General features: G+C 37.3%; 1 protein-coding gene and 1 pseudogene across 6 annotated transcripts in view; both read left to right on the forward strand.

The window, feature by feature from the left end:
- Positions 1-24,939, forward strand: part of PPP1R1C (protein phosphatase 1 regulatory inhibitor subunit 1C) — a 176,906-nt gene that overhangs the window by 70,903 nt on the left and 81,064 nt on the right. The window contains exon 1 of one of the 6 annotated variants that reach the window (XM_017003451.1): positions 10,426-10,708. The exons of the other annotated variants lie outside the window; for them this stretch is intronic. Coding sequence (XP_016858940.1) covers positions 10,567-10,708 — 142 coding nt within the window. The 5' untranslated portion in view covers positions 10,426-10,566. Of the gene's footprint in view, positions 1-10,425; positions 10,709-24,939 lie in introns of those variants that run through there. 6 annotated transcript variants of the gene reach the window in all.
- On the forward strand, positions 23,440-23,523 carry RNA5SP113 (RNA, 5S ribosomal pseudogene 113; annotated as a pseudogene).

A 24,939-nucleotide genomic window follows, 5' to 3' on the forward strand; every position in this document is an offset into this window, starting at 1 on the left:
AGAGTGTGATATTCCCCTTCCTGTGTCCATGTGATCTCATTGTTCAATTGCCACCTATGAGTGAGAATATGCGGTGTTTGGTTTTTTGTTCTTGCGATAGTTTACTGAGAATGATGATTTCCAATTTCATCCATGTCCCTACAAAGGACATGAACTCATCATTTTTTATGGCTGCATAGTATTCCATGGTGTATATGTGCCACATTTTCTTAATCCAGTCTATCATTGTTGGACATTTGGGTTGGTTCCAAGTCTTTGCTATTGTGAATAATGCCGCAATAAACATACGTGTGCATGTGTCTTTATAGCAGCATGATTTATAGTCCTTTGGGTATATACCCAGTAATGGGATGGCTGGGTCAAATGGTATTTCTAGTTCTAGATCCCTGAGGAGTCGCCACACTGACTTCCACAATGGTTGAACTAGTTTACAGTCCCACCAACGGTGTAAAAGTGTTCCTATTTCTCCACATCCTCTCCAGCACCTGTTGTTTCCTGACTTTTTAATGATCGCCATTCTAACTGGTGTGAGATGGTATCTCATTGTGGTTTTGATTTGCATTTCTCTGCTGGCCAGTGATGATGAGCATTTTTTCATGTGTTTTTTGGCTGCATAAATGTCTTCTTTTGAGAAGTGTCTGTTCATGTCCTTCGCCCACTTTTTGATGGGGTTGTTTGTTTTTTTCTTGTAAATTTGTTTGAGTTCATTGTAGATTCTGGATATTAGCCCTTTGTCAGATGAGTAGGTTGCGAAAATTTTCTCCCATTTTGTAGGTTGCCTGTTCACTCTGATGGTAGTTTCTTTTGCTGTGCAGAAGCTCTTTAGTTTAATTAGATCCCATTTGTCAATTTTGTCTTTTGTTGCCATTGCTTTTGGTGTTTTGGACATGAAGTCCTTGCCCATGCCTATGTCCTGAATGGTAATGCCTAGGTTTTCTTCTCGGGTTTTTATGGTTTTAGGTCTAACGTTTAAGTCTTTAATCCATCTTGAATTGATTTTTGTATAAGGTGTAAGGAAGGGATCCAGTTTCAGCTTTCTACATATGTCTAGCCAGTTTTCCCAGCACCATTTATTAAATAGGGAATCCTTTCCCCATTGCTTGTTTTTGTCAGGTTTGTCAAAGATCAGATAGTTGTAGATATGCGGCGTTATTTCTGAGGGCTGTGTTCTGTTCCATTGATCTATATCTCTGTTTTGGTACCAGTACCATGCTGTTTTGGTTACTGTAGGCTTGTAGTATAGTTTGAAGTCAGGTAGTGTGATGCCTCCAGCTTCGTTCTTTTGGCTTAGGATTGACTTGGCAATGCGGGCTCTTTTTTGGCTCCATATGAACTTTAAAGTAGTTTTTTACAATTCTGTGAAGAAAGTCATTGGTAGCTTGATGGGGATGGCATTGAATCTGTAAATTACCTTGGGCAGTATGGCCATTTTCACGATATTGATTCTTCCTACCCATGAGCATAGAATGTTCTTCCATTTGTTTGTATCCTCTTTTATTTCCTTGAGCAGTGGTTTGTAGTTCTCCTTGAAGAGGTCCTTCACATCCCTTGTAAGTTGGATTCCTAGGTATTTTATTCTCTTTGAAGCAATTGTGAATGGGAGTTCACTCATGATTTGGCTCTCTGTTTGTCTGTTGTTGGTGTATAAGAATGCTTGTGATTTTTGTACATTGATTTTGTATCCTGAGACTTTGCTGAAGTTGCTTATCAGCTTAAGGAGATTTTGGGCTGTGACCATGGGGTTTTCTAGATATACAATCATGTCGTCTGCAAACAGGGACAATTTGACTTCCTCTTTTCCTAATTGAATACCCTTTATTTCCTTCTCCTGCCTAATTGCCCTGGCCAGAACTTCCAACACTATGTTGAATAGGAGTGGTGAGAGAGGGCATCCCTGTCTTGTGCCAGTTTTCAAAGGGAATGCTTCCAGTTTTTGCCCATTTAGTATGATATTGGCTGTGGGTCTGTCATAGATAGCTCTTATTATTTTGAAATACGTCCCATCAATACCTAATTTATTGAGAGTTTTTAGCATGAAGGGTTGTTGAATTTTGTCAAAGGCCTTTTCTGCATCTATTGAGATAATCATGTGGTTTTTGTCTTTGGCTCTGTTTATATGCTGGATTACATCTATTGATTTGCGTATATTGAACCAGCCTTGCATCCCAGGGATGAAGCCCACTTGATCATGGTGGATAAGCTTTTTGATGTGCTGCTGGATTCGGTTTGCCAGTATTTTATTGAGGATTTTTGCATCAATGTTCATCAAGGATATTGGTCTAAAATTCTCTTTTTTGGTTGTGTCTCTGCCTGGCTTTGGTATCAGAATGATGCTAGCCTCATAAAATGAGTTAGGGAGGAGTCCCTCTTTTTCTATTCATTGGAATAGTTTCAGAAGGAATGGTACCAGTTCCTCCTTGTACCTCTGGTAGAATTCGGCTGTGAATCCATCTGGTCCTGGACTCTTTTTGGTTGGTAAACTATTGATTATTGCCACAATTTCAGCTCCTGTTATTGGTTTATTCAGAGATTCAACTACTTCCTGGTTTAGTCTTGGGAGAGTGTATGTGTCGAGGAATTTATCCATTTCTTCTAGATTTTCTAGTTTATTTGCGTAGAGGTGTTTGTAGTATTCTCTGATGGTAGTTTGTATTTCTGTGGGATCGGTGGTGATATCCCCTTTATCATTTTTTATTGTGTCTATTTGATTCTTCTCTCTTTTTTTCTTTCTTAGTCTTGCTAGCGGTCTATCAATTTTGTTGATCCTTTCAAAAAACCAGCTCCTGGATTCATTAATTTTTTGAAGGGTTTTTTGTGTCTCTATTTCCTTCAGTTCTGCTCTGATTTTAGTTATTTCTTGCCTTCTGCTAGCTTTTGAATGTGTTTGCTCTTGCTTTTCTAGTTCTTTTAATTGTGATGTTAGGGTGTCAATTTTGGATCTTTCCTGCTTTCTCTTGTGGGCATTTAGTGCTATAAATTTCCCTCTACACACTGCTTTGAATGCATCCCAGAGATTCTGGTATGTTGTGTCTTTGTTCTCATTGGTTTCAAAGAACATCTTTATTTCTGCCTTCATTTCATTATGTATCCAGTAGTCATTCAGGAGCAGGTTCTTCAGTTTCCATGTAGTTGAGCGGTTTTGAGTGAGATTCTTAATCCTGAGTTCTAGTTTGATTGCATTGTGGTCTGAGAGATAGTTTGTTATAATCTCTGTTCTTTTACATTTGCTGAGGAAAGCTTTACTTCCAAGTATGTGGTCAATTTTGGAATAGGTGTGGTGTGGTGCTGAAAAAAGTGTATATTTTGTTGATTTGGGGTGGAGAGTTCTGTAGATGTCTATTAGGTCTGCTTGGTGGAGAGCTGAGTTCAATTCCTGGGTATCCTTGTTGACTTTCTGTCTCGTTGGTCTGTCTAATGTTGACAGTGGGGTGTTAAAGTCTCCCATTATTAATGTGTGGGAGTCTAAGTCTCTTTGTAGGTCACTCAGGACTTGCTTTATGAATCTGGGTGCTCCTGTATTGGGTGCATATATATTTAGGATAGTTAGCTCTTCTTGTTGAATTGATCCCTTTACCATTATGTAATGGCCTTCTTTGTCTCTTTTGATCTTTGTTGGTTTAAAGTCTGTTTTATCAGAGACTAGGATTGCAACCCCTGCCTTTTTTTGTTTTCCCTTGGCTTGGTAGATCTTCCTCCATCCTTTTATTTTGAGCCTATGTGTGTCTCGGCATGTGAGATGGGTTTCCTGAATACAGCACACTGATGGGTCTTGACTCTTTATCCAATTTGCCAGTCTGTGTCTTTTAATTGGAGCATTTAGTCCATTTACATTTAAAGTTAATATTGTCATGTGTGAATTTGATCCTGTCATTATGATGTTAGCTGGTTATTTTGCTCGTTAGTTGATGCAGTTTCTTCCTAGTCTCGATGGTCTTTACATTTTGGCATGATTTTGTAGCGGCTGGTACCGGTTGTTCCTTTCCATGTTTAGCACTTCCTTCAGGAGCTCTTTTAGGGCAGGCCTGGTGGTGACCAAATCTCTCAGCATTTGCTTGTCTGTAAAGTATTTTATTTCTCCTTCACTTATGAATCTTAGTTTGGCTGGATATGAAATTCTGGGTTGAAAATTCTTTTCTTTAAGAATGTTGAATATTGGCCCCCACTCTCTTCTGGCTTGTAGGGTTTCTGCTGAGAGATCCGCTGTTAGTCTGATGGGCTTCCCTTTGAGGGTAACCCGACCTTTCTCTCTGGCTGCCCTTAACATTTTTTCCTTCATTTCAACTTTGGTGAATCTGACAATTATGTGTCTTGGAGTTGCTCTTCTCGAGGAGTATCTTTGTGGCGTTCTGTGTATTTCCTGAATCTGAACGTTGGCCTGCCTTGCTAGATTGGGGAAGTTCTCCTGGATAATATCCTGCAGAGTGTTTTCCAACTTGGTTCCATTCTCCCCATCACTTTCAGGTACACCAATCAGACGTAGATTTGGTCTTTTCACATAGTCCCATATTTCTTGGAGGCTTTGCTCATTTCTTTTTATTCTTTTTTCTCTAAACTTCCCTTCTCGCTTCATTTCATTCATTTCATCTTCCATTGCTGATACCCTTTCTTCCAGTTGATCGCATCGGCTCCTGAGGCTTCTGCATTCTTCACGTAGTTCTCGAGCCTTGGTTTTCAGCTCCATCAGCTCCTTTAAGCACTTCTCTGTATTGGTTATTCTAGTTATACATTCTTCTAAATTTTTTTCAAAGTTTTCAACTTCTTTGCCTTTGGTTTGAATGTCCTCCCATAGCTCAGGGTAATTTGATCGTCTGAAGCCTTCTTCTCTCAGCTCGTCAAAGTCATTCTCCATCCAGCTTTGTTCCATTGCTGGTGAAGAACTGCGTTCCTTTGGAGGAGGAGAGGCACTCTGTGTTTTAGAGTTTCCCGTTTTTCTGTTCTGTTTTTTCCCCATCTTTGTGGTTTTATCTACTTTTGGTCTTTGATGAGGGTGATGTACAGATGGGTTTTTGGTGTGGATGTCCTTTCTGTTTGTTAGTTTTCCTTCTAACAGACAGGACCCTCAGCTGCAGGTCTGTTGGAATACCCTGCCGTGTGAGATGTCAGTGTGCCCCTGCTGGGGGGTGCCTCCCAGTTAGGCTGCTCGGGGGTCAGGGGTCAGGGACCCACTTGAGGAGGCAGTCTGCCCGTTCTCAGATCTCCAGCTGCATGCTGGGAGAACCACTGCTCTCTTCAAAGCTGTCAGACAGGGACATTTAAGTCTGCAGAGGTTACTGCTGTCTTTTTGTTTGTCTGTGCCCTGCCCCCAGAGGTGGAGCCTACAGAGGCAGGCAGGCCTCCTTGAGCTGTGGTGGGCTCCACACAGTTCGAGCTTCCCAGCTGCTTTGTTTACCTAAGCAAGCCTGGGCAATGGCGGGTGCCCCTCCCCTAGCCTCGCTGCCGCCTTGCAGTTTGATCTCAGACTGCTGTGCTAGCAATCAGTGAGACTCTGTGGGCGTAGGACCCTCTGAGCCAGGTGCCGGATATAATCTCGTGGTGCGCCGTTTTTTAAGCCGGTCCGAAAAGCACAATATTCGGGTGGGAGTGACCCGATTTCCCAGGTGAGTCCGTCATCCCTTTCTTTGACTCGGAAAGGGAACTCCCTGACCCCTTGCGCTTCCCAAGTGAGGCAATGCCTCACCCTGCTTCGGCTTGCGCAAGGTGCGCGCACCCACTGACCTGCGCCCACTGTCTGGCACTCCCTAGTGAGATGAACCCGGTACCTCAGATGGAAATGCAGAAATCACCTGTCTTCTGCATAGCTCACGCTGGGAGCTGTAGACCGGAGCTGTTCCTATTCGGCCATCTTGGCTCCTCCCCCTATATTCTTCTATATGTGTTTATGTAACAAGAATTATCTGGCATAAGATTCACCTGATAATGATGATTATATTTGGATAGTAATATTGAGTGGCTTTCTTCACTATAGTGGACTGTCTTGCTTGAATTTTAAGAAGTGGACATTATTTTTATGTGAAGAAAAAAGTCGTTAAGTTGCTAAACATTCGGATAAAAATGTTTGGAGGCAAAAATAAAGTAAAAAAATTTAAATCATTTACTTAACTTAGTTATAGCCTGGAGAATTTGTATTTATGACTTAGGATGTCATCATTTCTTCAAACACATTTTTTAAAAGAATTCAACAATATGTTAAAGGAGAAATCAAAAGCCTTGCTGTAATTACTTAGGCATAATTTGTATTACAATAGCCTCACTTCTTATTTTCTTATCAAATATCATTTTAGTCCCATTGCAATATGAACACTGATACAGCTCTTTGACCACACACATTGTTTTCCCATGATCAACAGCTGCTGAAATGTTTTACTAGAAACTTCAAAATTTATAAATTCTATAATTTATGGTTTATATATTCTACTATGAGTAATTCTACTACTTAGCCAAACCTACCTAGAAGATTTTGTTAAAAGAAAAAAAGATTGATATTCACTTAGGAAGCATGTATGTATGATAAAGAAATTGTACCATATCTTATTTTTTCCACATTCCAGATCATAGCCCAATCTTAAACTCGGGAGATTGTTGGAGAGAGTTAGAAATTTTGGTGCCCCTTCATGGGGAAGTCCTATGGGTATCAGTTTAAAGTTTAGTATTTATTTTTGCATTGGTAGAAGGTAACTTGTTCTTTCCTAAACATTTAAATTTGTGGTTACAGTGATGTAATACACCAACAAATCATAGCAGATAAACATGGAAACTGGCCTTCTGAAATGTTCATAGTTCAGCCAAAAGTCAAGGGGGCCATCCCTTTCAACTGAGCTAATCCAATCTAAAGAAGAGTTAACATATTGGTTTCATCAGAACTGAATATCAACTATTGCATTTGTTTCTAGACGTGGTTAACTTTTTCACCTCTTTCAAACCTTGCTTTAATGTCGGTTTCTCAATGAGACCTACCCTGTCTACCATATTTAGTTTGCAAACCCATTACTCTGCACTACTGGTTCGTTTTTCCATAATACTTATTACCATCCAACATACCATATAATTAACTTATTTATTGTGTTTATTGTTTATGTCTCCATTACTAAGGGGAAAAGATCTTTGTCAGGTTTTTGTTCACTGGTATATTCCAGGAGCCTAGAGCAGTTTCTGATACATAGTGGGCCCCACCACATACTTATTTTTGATGAATTTATTTCCATTATGTTCAGTGTCTCCATTCGTGCTGAAAGGCAGTATAGTTAGCAGTGTGGGCTCAAAGTTAGACTGCTTGGGTTCAGGTTCTAGTTCCACTACTTACAAGCTGTGTGAGCTGCCCTGGATTATACAATGCCAGAGGTTCAATTTTCTCATCTATAAAAATGTTAATAATTCCACTACCTATTATGAGGATTAGAATAGCGTGATGGGATGAATAATGCCCAACATACTAAGTGCTCGATAAATATTAATGCTTTCTCCTTAAGTTATCAATATATTCAAGCCTCTTATTTTAAAAACAAAACTTCTCTTGAGCTCTCTAGGCATTACCTCATCTTCTGCCCTTCAGAGACAAACTTCTTGAGAGAGTTGTTGCAAATTCTTTATCTTTTATTTCATTTTAGCCTGTTGCAGTCTGACTTTACCCCCAAATTCACTCCACTCCAATTGCTTTGTTAAAAGTTACTATTAATAATTATCCAATAATTGCCAAATCCAGTAATCATTTTTAAAGTCCTTGATCCCTCTCTACTACTTAACATTGTTAGCTATGTTAACTTTCTTGCAATTCTTTTCTTCCCTGATTTTTGTGATGTCCTCCTTTCCTTGCCACATCTTGCTCTGCTCCTAAGTTTCCTACCACACAAACAATGATCTTTCTAGAGCTTGTAATACCTATTCTCCTCATGACACCTATACTTACTCTCTTAATTTTATTTACTCTCATAGTCTAAAACTGTCAGTCATATACTGATAACTTTCAAATCAGTGTCTTGAGCCAAAAATATTGCCTGATCTTTAGACGTCCATGTTTAAAAATCATCTGGATGTTTAACTCTGGTTGTCCCAGAGGCATATCAATTTAACATGTCTAAAAGTGAATTTATGACTTCCTTTAACTTTCCAAACTTGCTCCTTGTTATGTATTCTTTAAAAACCAACTAATAATCAATTTTTGCCCATTTTGTCTCTTAAAATATTTCTCAAATGTGGCCCACATCTCCCTTATGACCACTGCTTAACTCAGGTCCTTATCATCTCCATTCTTTTACGATAACCTTGTCTCACTCCTTGTGCCAACTTTGCCGTTACCCTTCTCTTTTCCAACAGTCATATTCTTAAAATACACATCTGACCACACTATTCCTCTATTTATGAAGCCCTTCAAAAATTTTCTAAGAAGTGCAGAAAAAGTTCCAAGCTCATTTGTGTGATATTAAAGGCCCGCCACAATGTTTCCTATTTACCTTTTCAATCTCATCCTTACGCTAAATCGCTTTGAACTGCTTCTAGGTACCAGGACGCAGAAAAGTTTTAGAAATGTATCATTGTATTCATGATATTCTCTGTTCCTGCAAAACTCTTCTGATCTTTCAGTGGCTAATTCCTCCTTTGTCAAGATTCAGGTTTAGAATCAAGAAGGCTTTTTAACTCCAGGCTATAATGTGTGTCTTCTAGAATTTTCTAGAATGTGTAGTGTTTTTTGACCCCATGAGCACACCATAATACATTTATTTATTAGTTTATTCAATCAATGAAATATTTTTGAGTGCCTACTATGTCTAGGAAACTGCCCTATTCAGAATAGAGGCAAAATCATTTTCTTATACATTGTGCTATTAAGGACAGGAAGACAAAGTTAAATCAATCACTACACAAATGTTTAATTTATGATAATTGTGATAAATGCTATCAAGTTGGATTAAAAGGTGGCATCAGAGTATATAACAAGACAGATGTAGCTTAGTCTAGGTGGTCCAAGAGGGCTCAGTCATGGAATTAATACTTTCAGTGCAAAATATGGAAGAGATAGAGTGTATATTTTTTAATTAGAAGGAAAAATATGTACAAAAGCCCTGAGGTGGGAAGAAGAATAACATGTTTGAGGAACAAAAAGAAGGTCATTGAGGCTGGAGAGCAGAGAGGTGGCAGAAAAAGCAGCATGACATGACACATTGATGTTTTTATATTAAACTGTTTCTCCACAAATAGACTATAAACTTTTAAGGGCAGGACTGGTTTGACTGATGTTTTAATTACTCATACCTATTCGAATTAATTCTGGTCAATTTAAGTAGAAGGCTTAAGTTGGAAGGATGTTAAGTCAGAAATGTGCGAATGTCAATAAGTGGGCAGGCCACAAGTAGATCCAGGTATCTAAAAGGCAGTCTCATCAAACTTATCCAAAGAGGAAAAATGTAACTCCTCAAAAGTTATTAGGTTGCTGTTGGAAAGAAAATAGGAGGGTAGGCCACCAAAATCAGCAAATGTTCACATCATTTATCATGGTCCTAGGCACATATTAGGAATACAATGAATGTTTTATGGATTGAACTGTACTCCTGTGGCTCCTTACACACCTTTAATGCACTACATTGTGATTATTTTGGGTCTGTCTCTTTTTGAAAGAAAGGACTGTGTCTGATTGCACTTTTTATTCCCAATACCTAGCCCAGTGCCTGGCACCTCCTTGTTGCTCAATAAATGCTTTGTGAGGGAATGGGAAGTGACTGTATGCCCATGTGCACATCTGTTAAATAGTTCTGTAGTCTTGACTGTGAATCTGGGCTCTTCATCGCCACATCACCTTGCTTCCTCCCATCCCCATCATTGAATAGAGTGCCGAATTCACAGTGAAAGTTTATAGCATGAATGAATGGCAAAAATGGTTGTTATTATACAAAGCTGCTTTTACATTCAAACATTCAAATGCCTAAGTAAAATATTTTTTCACAATATTTCATCAGCTTTTAGTAACTATTTAATTCTCAATTTTTCAACTGTAAGCCTCTAACAAATCATGTAAGTGCCTTACTTAAAAGAAATTGCCATGAGGAATTATGCATAATTTGTTTCTTCATAGAATTTACTTCTTGGCATTTGATATAGTTTGTCTCTGTGTCCCCACCCAAATCTCATGTTAAGTTGTGATCCAGAGTGTTTGAGGTGAGGCCTGGTGGGAGGTGATTGAATCATGGGGGTGGTTTCTAATGTTTTAGCACCATCCCTCAAGTGCTGTCTCATGACAAAGTTCTCATGAGACCTGGTTGTTTGAAAGTGTGTAGCACCTCCCCCTTCGCTCTCTCTCTCTCATGCTGGCCAAGTGAAGATGCACTTGCTACCCCTTTGCCTTCTGCCGTGATTGTAAGTTTCCCGAGGCCTCCTCAGCCATGCCTCCTGTGCAGCCTATGGAACTGTGAGTCAATTAAACCTCTCTTCTTTATAAATTACCCAGTATCAGGTAGTGCTTTATAGCAGTGTGAGAACAGACTAATACAGTATTCTTGCTACCAATTCTAAATATCCCAAGGGGAAAAAGCTTAATTGTTTCTGACTAATCCTAGAATGATTATACTATAAAGACTCATGCTATGTATGCTATACTCCCTCATTTCATTGTGTGTTTATACACACACACACACACACACATTTGCTTTTCCACATACAGGGATTGTGACTGAGCAGCAGAAGAGAAAACGGGCTCTCCAAAACAAGTCCTTTCAACAAAGTGAGTTAGAAGGCTGAAACTACAAATTCAACCTGAATTTGATTTCAATTTATTTGGTAACACAAAAAGCCCTTTTCCTTCTTACAATCTCTGTAACTCTATTTAGATAGTTTCTCCTCTTGAGGACTCAGTTGCTGTGCTTTGAACTGGTTTCAAATCCTGGTTTCTCCATTAATTATGTGACTTGCTTCTTTTATTGCCTGTAAATGGAGGCTGATAATAACCACTCAATAGTTTTGTTGAGATTAAATAGAATATAACATGTTAAAATGCTTAGCACAGTCCTGATACAAACTAAGTACTTATTAAATAGTTACTGGATTATTACTATTATTATTTGTTGCTTATTTCATGTATATAACTAAAATGCACAAACATTTTTAAACATGAAATTACTACACAGGTATACTAATACTTAATTCTGCTTTTCTGCATAAACATAATTTTTAGTATTTAGATAGTTAAAATAACTACATTTATCTAGGTGATCTCTAAGGTATCTCTGCATTCTACTATCAACATTTCATAATTCTAAATTTATTGAGAATAGAAACCGTTATTATTATAACTTAACCTGATATATACATTCTCTCTGTCTCTCTCTCTATGTGTTTGTGTGTGTGTGTGTGTATATATATAAAACATAATGGCAAATACCACAATTACTTTTGCACCAACCTAATATGTGTGTGTATGTGTATGTATAATACATGTACTATTAAATGACACATTTGTAAGTTGTAAGTTGCATTTTCAAGGTGAACTCACTAGAAGCCTGGATTTTTATCCTACCCTTCTGTTATATTAGCATGTTTCAATAAAGATAAGACCTTAGATGTTCAGTTTTTAGAAATAACACAAAGGTGAAAAAAGGAACACATAACAACATGTGAATTTCAAAGAGAGAGTGGATTTGTAGCAATTGTATTAGAGAGGCTAAATACCAGAACGGATTGAGGCTTGAAAATAACATACCATTAAACATATACATAAAATAGCTTTTAGATTCTCTAGGAGCAAAAAGAAGAAGGGCATTCCCAGTTGCTTTGTTACAATGCCAGAATATTAGATTAAAAACAAAAACAAACAAAAAAGGCAGAGGTTGTTGACTCATATTTCTTTCACAGTTTTCTACAAGAGAAATTCTCCTCCAAGTGAGGATGAAATGTAAATATTGTTAAAGAAGACTTGAATCTAAGTTCAGTAATAAAATAGGAGAGCTTGTTATTTAGCCTTCTAGGCTCAGGAAGCACTTTGGGAGGCCAAGGCCAGAGGATCACGAGGTCAAGAGATTGAGGCCATCCTGGCCAACACGGTGAAACCCCGTCTCTACTAAAAATACAAAAATTAGCTGGGTGTGGTGGTGGGTGCCTGTAGTTCCAGCTACTCGGGAGGCTGAGGCAGGAGAATCGCTTGAACCTGGGAGGCAGAAGTTGCAGTGAGCCGAGATCACGCCACTGCACTCCAGCCTGGTGACAGAGCAAGAATCCATCTCAAAAAAAAAAAAAATGTGTAAAACCAAGCAATTAAAGAATAGCAATTATAATCAACAAGCTATTGATGGCAACCTATAAAGATACAGGTGAAATAAATGAGCTGCAAGTAATCATGATGTTTATGAACAAGAAAACCTCAGAGTTTAGAAACTATGAACTGTTAATTTCACCTGAATTTGAAGCAAAATCTATTACAGACATCTCAGTAACCTAAAATGTCATTTCCTAGAAACAAGAGTAGGCTCATTAAAAGCAAATCACTTCCTCACAACTTTATTTCTACACTTTTATTAGATTATTCTATTAATTGATCAAAGTCATGCTGAAACCACATATATATCAGTAAGATATTTGGAAAATATCTCCTGATAGCTCTATATTTACTGTGGAGAATAATTGGGTTATAATATTAATATATTCAGGCAATTTCTATTTATATTTATATGTATTTTATTTTATATATATATTTGAGATAAGGTCTCACTCTGTTGCCCAGGCTGGAGTGCAGTGGCCTGATCATGGCTCACTGCAGCCTCCACTTCCTGGGCTCATTCCATCCTTCCACCTCAGTCTCCCAAGTAGCTGGGACTACAGGCACACACCACCATGACCAGCTAATGTTTTGTGGTTTTTGTAGATATAAGGTTTTACCATGTTGGCCAGGCTGGTCTTGAACTTCTGAGCTCAAGCAATCTGCCCGCCTCGGCCTCCCAAACTGCTGAGATTATAGGCACGAGCCACTGCACCCAGCCTTATTCATAATTTTTAAACTAACTATCCCTGTAGATTAGTGGATACATGGGCACCTGGAGTAAACTATCTTAGTGGTTTGCTTCTTCTGTCTCAATATTTGCATCCTTATATTTGTTTGATATTTTTTATTGACGACTTTAAGTGAAGTGTTGTTAATGCCCCCAAACTGAAAAGATATATGTAGGCATTGAATGGCAGGATCAAAGCTGAGGAGATCCTGACAAGCCATTTAGATAGGTTGAAACCCTTCAAGATTAGCTCTATCAGGGAAGAATGTAAGATCTTGTTTTTAACTAGTTAAAGTCGACTGCATACAGAAGAAAGGAAAAGGGTTTTTGTGAATCAAATCCATGGATTTAAAAAAGCAATAGGCTGTGTGTGCCTAATGTGTTTGGCAGCTGATACAGTCCTTCATGACATTAAGAGAGCTATGACACACCCTCATCAGGAATGTAGTGCTCAGTTCTAAGGATCAGCTTTTAAGAGTCATCAACTGCTATAAGTAACAAGGATGTGGGCAGAAGCTCCAGGCAGGTAGATTTTAGCTTAGAATAGAAAATAATTTTCTAATTGTTATTTCATTTTTTTATGAGAGGTTGTTTCAAAAGTCCTTAATTCACTCCCTTTTATTTAAACTGTGTAAGCTGTTATTGAAAGTCTGTTAAGACACACAGAAAGGATCCTTGCTTTGAGTACGAGTTTGGAGTAGATGTTCTTTATGTTCTTCCACACAATTCTAAACTTGTATACTCTATTTGTCCATAATATTGCAACATTTACTTTTCAATTTATATAAGTATTGATCTTCTTTTCTATGGTTGCTGTTAAGCAGAAGGAATATTTCCACTAGGATGAGAAATATGAACTTGTTACTGGCCTATTTTGAATTCCTTTCCTATGTTATCATCTTTGATTGTTCCATATAATTTTGATTGAAAGTGTCATAGAGGTAATCTGCAAATGGTACTGCTCAAACCAGCTTCCTGTTAGAGATGTCTCATTTTGTAGCTTTTGGAGTATAAGTGGGTTTTGGGTTGTTGTTGTTGTTGTTGTTCTTTGTTTTTGAGACAGATCTCACTCTGTCTCCTAGGCTAGAATGCAGTGGTATGATCATGGCTCACTGCAGCCTTGACCTCCCCGACTCAGGTAATTCTCTAACCTCAGCCTCCTAAGTAGCTGGGACTCTAGGCGTGTGCCATGATGCCCAGCTAGTTTTTTGTGTATTTGTAGAGCTAAGATCTCATTATTTTGCCCAAGCTGGTCTTGAACTCCCAGGCTTAAGTGATCCTCCCACCTTGGCCTCCCAAAGTACTGAGATTACAGGTGTGAGCCACCACTCCTGGCACAAGGGGTTTTTGGTTACGTAGACGAATTGTATAGTGGTGAAATCTAAGATTTTAGTGCATTTGACATCTAAGTAGTGTATATTGTACCCAATATGTAGTTTTTAATCCTTCACCCCCCTCACCCTCTCCCAATTCTGAGTCTCCAAAGTCCATTATTTCACTCTGTATGTCTTTGTGTACCCATAGCTTATCTCCAATTATAAATGAGAACATACAATATTAGTTTTATTCATTCCTGAATTACTTCATTCAGAATAATGGCCTCTAGCTCCATCCAAGTTGCTGCAAAAGACATTATTTCATTCTTTTTATAGCTGAGTAGTATTCCATGGTGTATAGATACCACATTTTCTTCATCCACTCATTAGTTGATGGGCACTTAGGTTGGTACCATATCTTTGCAATTGTGAATTTTGCAACAATAAACATATGCATGTGGGTGCTTTTTGATATATTCACTTCTTTTCCTTTGGGTAGATACCCAGTAGTGAGATTGCTAGATCAAATAGTAAATCTACTTTTAGTCCTTTGAGAATACTCCATACTGTTTTCCTTAAAGGTTGCACTAGTTTACATCCCCACCAGCAGTTTTTAAGCATTCCCTTCTCACCACATCCATACCAACATTTATTGTTTTTTGACTTTTTAATAGTGGTCATTCTTGCAGGAGTAAGGTGTATCTCATTGTGGTTTTAATTTGCATTTCCCTGATGATTAGTGATATTGAGCATTTTCTTCATACATTTATTGGCCATCGGTATATCTTCTTTTGAGAGCTGCCTATTCATGTCATTTGCCCACTTTTTAATGGGATTATTTATTTTTTTTCTTGCAGATTTGTTTGAGTTGCTTGTAGATTCTGGATATTGGTCCTTTGTTGGATGCATAGTTTGCAAATATTTTCTCCCATTTCATGGGTTTTCTGTTTATTCCAATGATTATTATTTTGCCATGTACAAGCTTTTTGGTTTAAATAAATCCCATTTATATATTTTTGTTTTTGTTGCATTTGCTTTTGAGGTCTTAGTCATGAATTCTTTGCCTAGGCCAATGTCTTACAGAGTTTTTCCTAGGTTATCTTATAGAATTTTTATGGCTTCAGGTCTTAGATTTAAGACTCTGATCCATCTTGACTTGATTTTTATATATAGTGAGAGGTAGGGACCCAGTTTTCTCTACATGTGGCTTGCCAGTTTTCCTAGCACCATTTATTGAATAGGGTGTCTTGTCCCTAGTTTATGTTTTTGTATGCTTTGTCAAAGATTATTTAGTTGTAAGTAACTGGCTTTATTTCTGGGTTCTCTATTCTGTTCCATTGGTCTAGGTGTCTACTTTTATACCAGTACCATGTTGTTTTGGTAGCTATAGCCTTGTAGAATAATTTTAATTCCTGTAATGCGATACGTCCAGATTTGTTCATTTTGCATAGGATTGCTTTGCTCTTCAGGCTCCTTTTTGGTTCCATTTGAATTTTAGGGTTGTTGTTTTCTAATTCTGTGAAAAATGATGTTGATATCTTTATAGGAATTGCATTGGATGTGTTTTAATCTAAGTTTCTTCACAATTTTAAAAAATGGAATATGTCATCGACATTAGATATGGACTTCTTATGAAGCACTTCTCTTACTAAAAATTGTTCCAGGCCTGGCGTGGTAGCTCACGCCTGTAATCCCAGCATTTTGGGAGGCCAAGGTGGGTGGATCACCTGAGGTCAGGAGTTTGAGACCAGCCTGGCCAACATGGTAAAACTCTATCTCTACTAAAAATACAAAAATTAGCCAGTTGTGGCGGCAGCTGCCTGTACTCCCAGCTACTTGGGAGGCTAAGGCAGGAAAATTGCTGGAACCCGGGAGGCGGAGGTTGCAGTGAACTGAGGTCATGCCATTGACTCCAGTCTAGGATGACAACAGAGAGACTCTGTCTCAAAAAAAAAAAAAAAAAAAAAATTGTCCCAAATGTAGCCACTTTCGGTATATAAACTGTATGAGCTAAGAAAATGCAATCAAAAAAGTTTAAAAATAAGAAAAGAAAAGCAAAAAAATTATCATAGTAGACCAAAGGGGTCATATAACATACGTCCGTATGTTCTTTCATGTGTTAATATAGTTGCCCTTTACCCAGCAACAAAATGTCATCATGTTTGCTTCCTTCTCCAAATTCATAACCTCTGTTTATTCTGCTTTTGGCAGCTTTATAGTGCTTAAAGTTTAATTTATAATGTATTTATCTACATTCCTTTGATCTAATATGTGGTTATTTCGTATATGTGTTTGTATCCCATTTTTCCAACTATTTTTTGAACTTCTGGTAATCTGGGTCAGTCATACTTTTTCCTTTTCCGTGTATGTAGCTCCTTCTCTTCCACTTATCTGTCAGTATATGTTGTATTTAACACATCTTACTCACGTTGAATTGTGATAATTGAATTATGTAGTTGTATTCACTGAAGAAGGTTTTCTGGAATAGAATAGAAAGTATGACTCCTTTTTTTACTCTACTTATTTGGTAAAATTTCAATTAACATTAAAGAAGAATAAATACTTCTTGATCTTTGTTCAATGAAGTTCAAGGATGTATTATTTCATGTCACAGATAAATATGAAAAATGAGTGACTTAAAGTCTCTGGAATGCAGAGACTAGAAAAGGATTTGGATGGAAGTACTTTATCTGGGATGGAATTTCAGAAAGCAAGAATAAGTGAGAGAAGGAGTAAATAAAAGACTCATTATCAAGGTCATTGCTGTGAAATGAAGGCTTGACTGTGTTGGGACCTCCTAAGATGCATCTAGCCTACCTTGCTGGGGCTGCCCACTGAAAACAGGAGGCTGAAGTTTTCACTCACTGGCTTCAGTCCTCTAGTGGTTGTGAACTGTCCCCCAAGAGCATTAACTTCACCTGCATTTGATTCTTCTAGGGTCAGAGAATGCCCTAGGGAGAAAGAGGAAAGATGCATGTGGCATGAGGTTGAGGTGGAATGAAGTAAACAAGAGCCTATTAGTCCTCTGCTACAATAGCAGAATTGTAATGCCTTATACCTTGGTCTGGAATGTTGTGTTCAGTTCTGTGCACCAGCTTTTGAGAGGTGGCATCAAGTCATGAGACAAACAGGAAAACATGGTACTGAAACCAAGTCACATTAAAAGGTACCAGGGAAGCTGGAGGTATTAGCTTTAAGAGAAGAACAGAAAATGAGATATGTTCGGTCAACTAGAGATGATTGTGAGCCTTTCTGGATGCAGGGCATCTGAAACATCTGCTACAATAAGAATCCTTAAAAAACTTGAACAACAATATTTGTTTAAAAACTTTCTCCTTAACCTTAAAAAATATGTAAGCAACTGCAAACAATGAGCCACCAGAAAAATTTTTAAAAAATTGACTATTAAAACATAATGGCCAAACATTAGAAAAGCAAAAGAGCACACAACTCAGCATTTTTGCCAGTTCACTACTCACAGAGTTATATTTAGATGAATGCAAAATGCATTTGGTCAACCACTTCGTATTCAAATTCATGTGTGTGGAAGTAAATTTGATCCATCTGTGTCTGGATTATTTTCTTAAACCACCAAAATTTTATTTTACAAGAACAGATTTCCAAAGAGTCTTGTGATACCCTCAACTTCCTGCCAAGCCTCCTCAAAAGGTCTGAAATATGGTTATTATATACTGAACTCAAAATACTTATTTAAAAACTTTAATAAGCAAAATAACAAGCAAAAGGATATCTGATTTATCTGCCGTAATGTTATTTATGTTGAAATCGAGCATAGAACATGAAAAAAATAGGAGAAAGCTCTATAAAGTATCTATTTTTTTCCACATATATGCCCAGACATGGTATGATACAAATGATCTACCTAAACAGCACGCCATGTGTAAGCAGTTTACACATGTGCCACTCATGTAAATGTGGAGTAGCTGATCCGGGACAACTTCATGCCTACCCTGAAGAGTATGCTGACGTAAGTTGTATAGGTTACCATGAGGTTTCCCCTCGAATCCTTGGTTTCTCTTGTGTCTTTTTACAGGCCTCTTCCCTGCAGTCTATTCCTTATTTGTTGCTATTACTCAGAGTTGCTACCTTGGCCCTCTGCTTCTCTAGTCCTCCACCGTCTTCCTGGGCATTCTCATCCTCTCTCATGGCTTTATTGACCCCCTAGGTGCTGAAGACTCCTAAATCTGTGTCTTCAGCTCCGCTTTCACTACTGAGAGTGACTATATCTGAATTCTACCCACTTGGATAATCAGTAAGCACCACAATATGAACAATTCCATGAACTCAAAATCTAAGCCAGAAACTGCATGTAATGTTTGACTCACTTTTCCTGTCACCTGTTCCCCCACCCTCACCTATGTCGAGTCATTGTGCAAGTCGAGTCCATTCTTTCTCTTAAGCATCTCTCTCACCTGGTTCCACCTTCATCATCCATCACCTGAATAACTGCAATGTCTTCCTAACTGAGCTACCTGTATCCAGGATGGACTCCTCCAATTCATTCTCCACATAACTGTCAGAATGATCTTTCTACGAAAGAAATCTGGTCATGCCTCTTTCTGCTTAAAACCCTTCATTGGTTTTCCATCACTTTTGGAATAAACTACAAACTTCATACAGTTTCAAATCCCTGAATCATCTAGTCTTACTAAATCTTCAACCCCTTCTCTCTGAACTCACCCCTGGCATTCTATAGTCCAAATATTTGAGCTTTTTCTAATTTCTAAAAAACGTCATGCTCTCTCACACCTCAGGGAGATTCCCACAAGCTGTTTCATCTGATGAAAATCTTTTCTCATCTCCAGTCTTACCCCACCCAACTTCCTTGCCCACTCACCTTTGCTGGCCATCTCAGCAGCAAGCTTATAAAGATTTATTTCCTTTAAGGAAAAAAATGATAAGATAGATGCCCCTGATATATGCTTCTCGCACACTCGGTGCTTCGTCTGTTGCAGCACTTATTTATCATACTGTACTGTGGTTGCTTTTTAATCATCTGTCTTTTTCAATAGAGTTTAAACTCCCCAGGAGGGTGGGAACTTAGTTCCTAAAAGGATGCATAGCACAGAGTATATATGCAATAAATTATTGTTAAAATATTGGGCACATTTTGATCCATAGTGACAGACAACCTTACATATAAGACACAGATTATCATAGGCGTTAATCTACAAACTGCATTTAAATGTGTTTTTATTCTATTTTTCTCTTTTATCACCATTATGAGAAAAAAATGGTTAGTTTAAGGCTTATACAAAGATAAAGTTCCTTTTCCTTCATCTTTCTGTCTCTCTATCTATAGATATATGTATATTCTGTTTTCCTATCTGAACTTGGTGCCAAACATATTGAGCTGGTATCTTGTTACATGTCTGTCCTTTCACAGTTCTTCCATATAGCTACTAGAAATAATCACTACAGTTTAGAACACACTGTGCAACCCTCAAGTAAATTACATTTGAGACAAGAAAACTGAGAAACTGCATGAAGGTTAAGATTTTCGGGATAGGTAAAAATAGCAAGAGCTGAAAACAGAATCCAATTACACAGGTATTTAATCCTTCAATCTTTAAAACTCAATAAATAAAGCATTGCTTTTTTTGAGGCATGTTATTTAGGATGAAAAGTGAATGTTTATTTCAGATGATCAAGTGACAAAAACTAACTTCTATATTTTTCAAGTCGATAAAAACTTATAGAAAGTGAAATAGGATTTTAAGGATATTTTTCCATTGACCTCTCTTTCTGTTAGTAACAAAAAAAAAAAAACTTCCATTGATGATAGGATGCCTTCAGTTGATTAAGCCATGAAAAGATTACCACTTTGTTTATAATCATCCATATGTATTTAATGTGTACAGTAACATCTTGTGATTTTAAGAATAAATTTTCCATCTATAACTAAAAAATAAAAGTTTTCCTCTTGTTATACAGAGTTCTAGTTAAAGAGAATGTTGCTTTATTTTATGTTATTTTTATAATGGTTGGTTTACTCATAATAGTGATACTCAGATACAATTATTTTGAAATTTGCAATGGTTATATCTACACAGTTCAAAATGCAAAAGGGTTTGGAAAAAATAAATGATTCATCCATGCAAGATATAAAATAGCATAGCTATAAAATAAGAATATGACTTAAATGAGCAATTCTGTGATTTGGCAATTTGATCAAAGTAGAAAAGCTTCAAAATTATCAAATATCCAATCATATTTGTCTTTATAAGAATACAATGAAACCTAATTTTATTTTACCTTTTACTGTATATATATTTAAAATATACAACATGATGTTTTGATATACTTACCTTAATATACATATGCATAGTGAAGTGTTTACTACAATCAAGCAAATTAACAAACCAAGTATCTCATATAGTTACTTTTTTCTTTCTCTCCCCTCCTACATTTCCTTCCTTCCTTCCTTCCTTCCTTCCTTCCTTCCTTCCTTCCTTCTTCCTTCCTTTCCTCCTTTATTTCATGGTAAGAGTACCTAAAATCTACTCTCTTAGCAAAGTACCAGTGTGAATACATTATTAACTATAGACCTCCTGTTGTACATTAGTTCTCTAGATTTACTTAACCTACATAATGCAACTTTGTACTTTGACCTATATCATCCCATTCCCCCTGCCCTTACCCCATCCCTAGTAACCACTGTTCCACTCTCTGTGAAACCCAATATTAAACATAGCTTTGCTTCAGTTTTTATACATGAATGATAATCCCCAAATTAGTCATAGAAATTATTAACTAGCAATTCAAAGGCGAAGTGGCTCATGCCTGTAATCCCAGCACTTTGGGAGGCCGAGGCAGGCAGATCACAAGGTCAAGAGATCGAGACCTTCCTGGCCAACATGGTGAAACCTCGTCTCTACTCAAAAAAAAAAAAAAAAATACTAAAAGTAGCCTGACGTGGTGGCATGCGCCTGTGATCCCAGCTACTCGGGAGGCTGAGGCAGGAGAATCACTTGAACCCAGGAGGTGGAGGTTGCAGTGAGCCGAGATTGCGCCACTGCATTCCAGCCTGGCAACAGAGCGAGTCTCTGTCTCAAGAAAAAAAAAAAAAAGAAAGAAATACGTTGATAATAATTTTAAGTTGGACAATCATGGCAAGTAATTAAATGTACAATATATAAAGAAATATTTTACAAGTTTACCTTTATATTCCAATATCTTCTCTAGAAATGAAAATCTGTTACATGTGCTCTGGCTGACTAATGCAAGTTACAAAGCAGATTTAGTAAGTCACTGTCAATGTTAGCGACCTATGTGGAAAAAAAAAGAAAACGTTTCTGTGAAGTAAAAAGAGAACTAAATATTTCAAATAGTGGTAAGCAGCTAATTCTATTCTAATTCCAGTGCCTCTCAGAACCATCTTTAAAGTGAATGCTCTCAAAATTTCCTGTCATCATCATTCAAATTGTTAACGTTTGAATAATTTTCTCATGCTCACCTCAATTATTTCCCCTACTTCTACTTGTAAGGAAATTGGTCATAAGACTTTATTTGGAGACTCTGATGAGAATACTTTTGTGATATCTTATGTAGAAAAATGAAATATTAGTGTTTTAAAATGACTAACACCTAAATTATTCAAATCCTATTTAAAGGAATCTATAGATCAAAATGACATAAAAATATATTATTGGAAAAGGATTAAATGCACATTGAATAATTACATCATTAGTTTTCCAACATTGCCTAAAACATCTAATAATTATTTCTAATCTGTAAAAGTTATGTTAAAAGTATGTTTACAATCAGTTCTCTACTCAAAAGAAGATACACTTTTTTAAAAAACTAGAATTACTGGAATAAATATTGCTGTTTAAACTGATGTCATCCCCAAAGAAAACCCATCCATTAAGTGAACCAACTTATTTTTCTGGAGCAAATTGGCAAATTCAAACTCCAAGAAGGCAGAAAAAATTGTACCAGTGATTGAAAAATCACTACTGATAAGATGATGCAATAGTTCTTTGGCTCTCATATAAAATGGTTGTGTGGTAGGATAAAATATGTCTTATAAGAGAAACTAAGTTCATAAAAATTGAGAATACTAATGAAAAGCAGACTCTTGAGGTTTCAAATAATCTGCTTTTTCTGCTCTTCTTTTACTGTGCTTGGAAGTGGCAGCAGAAATTATGAAATATAAGCAGAAAGGTAGTTTGGAAGATTTCCAACCTGAATCATGAGATAATTACTAGTTGAGAGTTCTTTTTGAATAAATCAACATAATCCATCTTGTGTTTTCTTTGTCATTTCTACCACTATTTCCACAGAGAATATCTTATACCAGGTTCTTATTGGCATCCCCTAAAATGAGCCATTTTAGGGGGTTCAGAGAGATAAAAATCTATTAAGTAATGAGGTTGTGTTCCCACTTTCATCATTTAAAATGGAAAGCTATAAATAATATTGAAAGAAAAATACAGCTGTGTGAATCTTGGCACAACAGGGTAAAACTATTCTTACCATTTTCTTCTTTTCTCCACATTCCCCTTTCCAGTGCATATAACTTTATTATTCTGGTGGTTTCAGTTTGGGCCCCAGTTTTGACTAACTCTAAGAACTCAAAGAAAAACACAACTGAAACCACTACCTAGTGGCTTAACGTGAAGCCCCAAATGATAGGCCTTCAACGGAGCCCAGCAAAGGGCTTATAAGCACAGCTCATTTTGGAAAGGGGAGAGTTTGATAAGTCAGGAAGACAGGCTTCACTATAGCTGGCTTAGGAGATTTTCATAGCCCTATTACATTTAGCCTTACTAAAAAGAAATTATAATTCTAATCCTCTGCTATACGTAAGAAATACATGATAGATTTCTCTGGCACTTTGAACAGATTGATTTTATGCTAGAATGCTAATAACACAAGGAAATGGCAAATATACATGCAAAATGAAATTGAGCTGTGCATAACAATTTCTTTCATTTCTCTTTGATTTATTCCCATTCAATTCTGAAGGCTCATGGGTCAATGATTGTATTGAATTAGTAGATCTAAAGCCTTCTATGGAATTTTTTGTTTTTGTCCCCTCCTTATATTGTTCAACTGTAGATGACCTAGTCAATAGTTGTAATCCAAAGGTCGCTGTAAAGAAAGAGATTCTACCTTCAAACATGTTAGATACAGTCTACTGCCCTACCACCCTGAAAGCGCCCCATCTCATTTGATCTTGGAAGCTAAGCAGTGTTGAGCCTGGTGAGTAGTTGGATGGGAAACATGTTGGATACAAAAATGGAGAATCTGCTGAAATGTGATAATTGAGATTTCACTGTTGTTTTCAGAGATCTGATGGTAAATTCCTTTGGAGACTGTCAAAGATAGCACCGATGTCCTTATGATTAAATCTCTGAGGCAGGCCAGGCATGGAGGCTCACGCCTGTAATCCCAGAACTTTAGGAGGCTGAGGCAGGCGGATCACCTGAGGTCATGAGTTCGACACCAATCTGGCCAACATGGTGAAACCCCATCTCTACTAATACAAAAGTGAGCTGGGTGTGGTGGCGGGTGCCTGTAGTCCCAGCTACTTAGGAGGCAGAGGCAGGAGAATCACTTGAGCCTGGGAAGTGGAGGTTGCCATGAGCCAAGATCATGCCACCACTGCACTCCAGTCTGGGTAACAGAATGAGATTCCATCTCAAAAAAAAAAAAAAAAAAATCTCTCTAGGGCACCTCAAAAAGAGGAACATAAATTGTTTTTCTCCGTTGCTACTTCTCTACACAATTATTTTTTTCCCACAAAATAGTGCAGGAAAAGATTATAAACAAAAGCTAATGAAAATATACTAAGGTTTTGAATAGTGTCCCAGTTTGCAGCCTTGGCTGAATATAATCCCTTGGCTGCAAACTGGGATACTATTCAACTTATTACACAGAGGGGTGGAACATCAAACTGAGAGATATGCTAAGCATTCTTTCAGGCCCCAAAACATGCAGGGGTTTACCTTTTCCTCTGTGAGGCAAAATAGGAAACTGATCATGTATTCCAATAATAAATTGTGCTAGGAAAGTCCCAATTTTAGTTTTAATACAATTCAGTTTACCTCTGATTTGTATATTTTCTAGGCCTTTCAACTAATGGTCTGTGGTCTTTGTATTTTTTAAATTTACGTTCTGTTTTCAAGAGATTTCCATATTATTTATTCACTTACCCAGTATAGCTTCAGAAACTCTCAAATGTCTTAAGGCAGAGACAAATTGCATGTTTTAATTCCCTGAAGTCTTCAATTTTATCACTCTAGTATTACACAATTGCCAAAATATCTTGTGGATTTTCTGTTCTCCTGTAGTGGGGCTCTGCCAGAGGCCAAATTTGAATAGTGAGCCTCTAGTTCTGAATGTCTCTGCTCTCTGTAGTTTTCTTTGCTTTGTCAGGTCTTGCTGTCTTTTATAATTTATCCTATTTTTATAGTTCTGTTAAACAATATCATTGGCCTGCTGTAAACCGATCCATACTACTTCAAGCAAAACTGCAAAATTTAATATCAAGGCAAGTTTTTTGTTTGTTTACTTTCCTAGTTTTATATAGATTATCCCCTATAGTTTCTACTCAGTTTTCTAGTAACTATTCTCCTCTCACAGCCAGGCTGTCAGTGGCTGTGTCTCTGATGCTAATGCTTGATTTCATA

The sequence above is a fragment of the Homo sapiens genome, chromosome 2 (genome assembly GCF_000001405.40).
Source record: "Homo sapiens chromosome 2, GRCh38.p14 Primary Assembly".
NCBI lineage: Eukaryota > Metazoa > Chordata > Mammalia > Primates > Hominidae > Homo > Homo sapiens.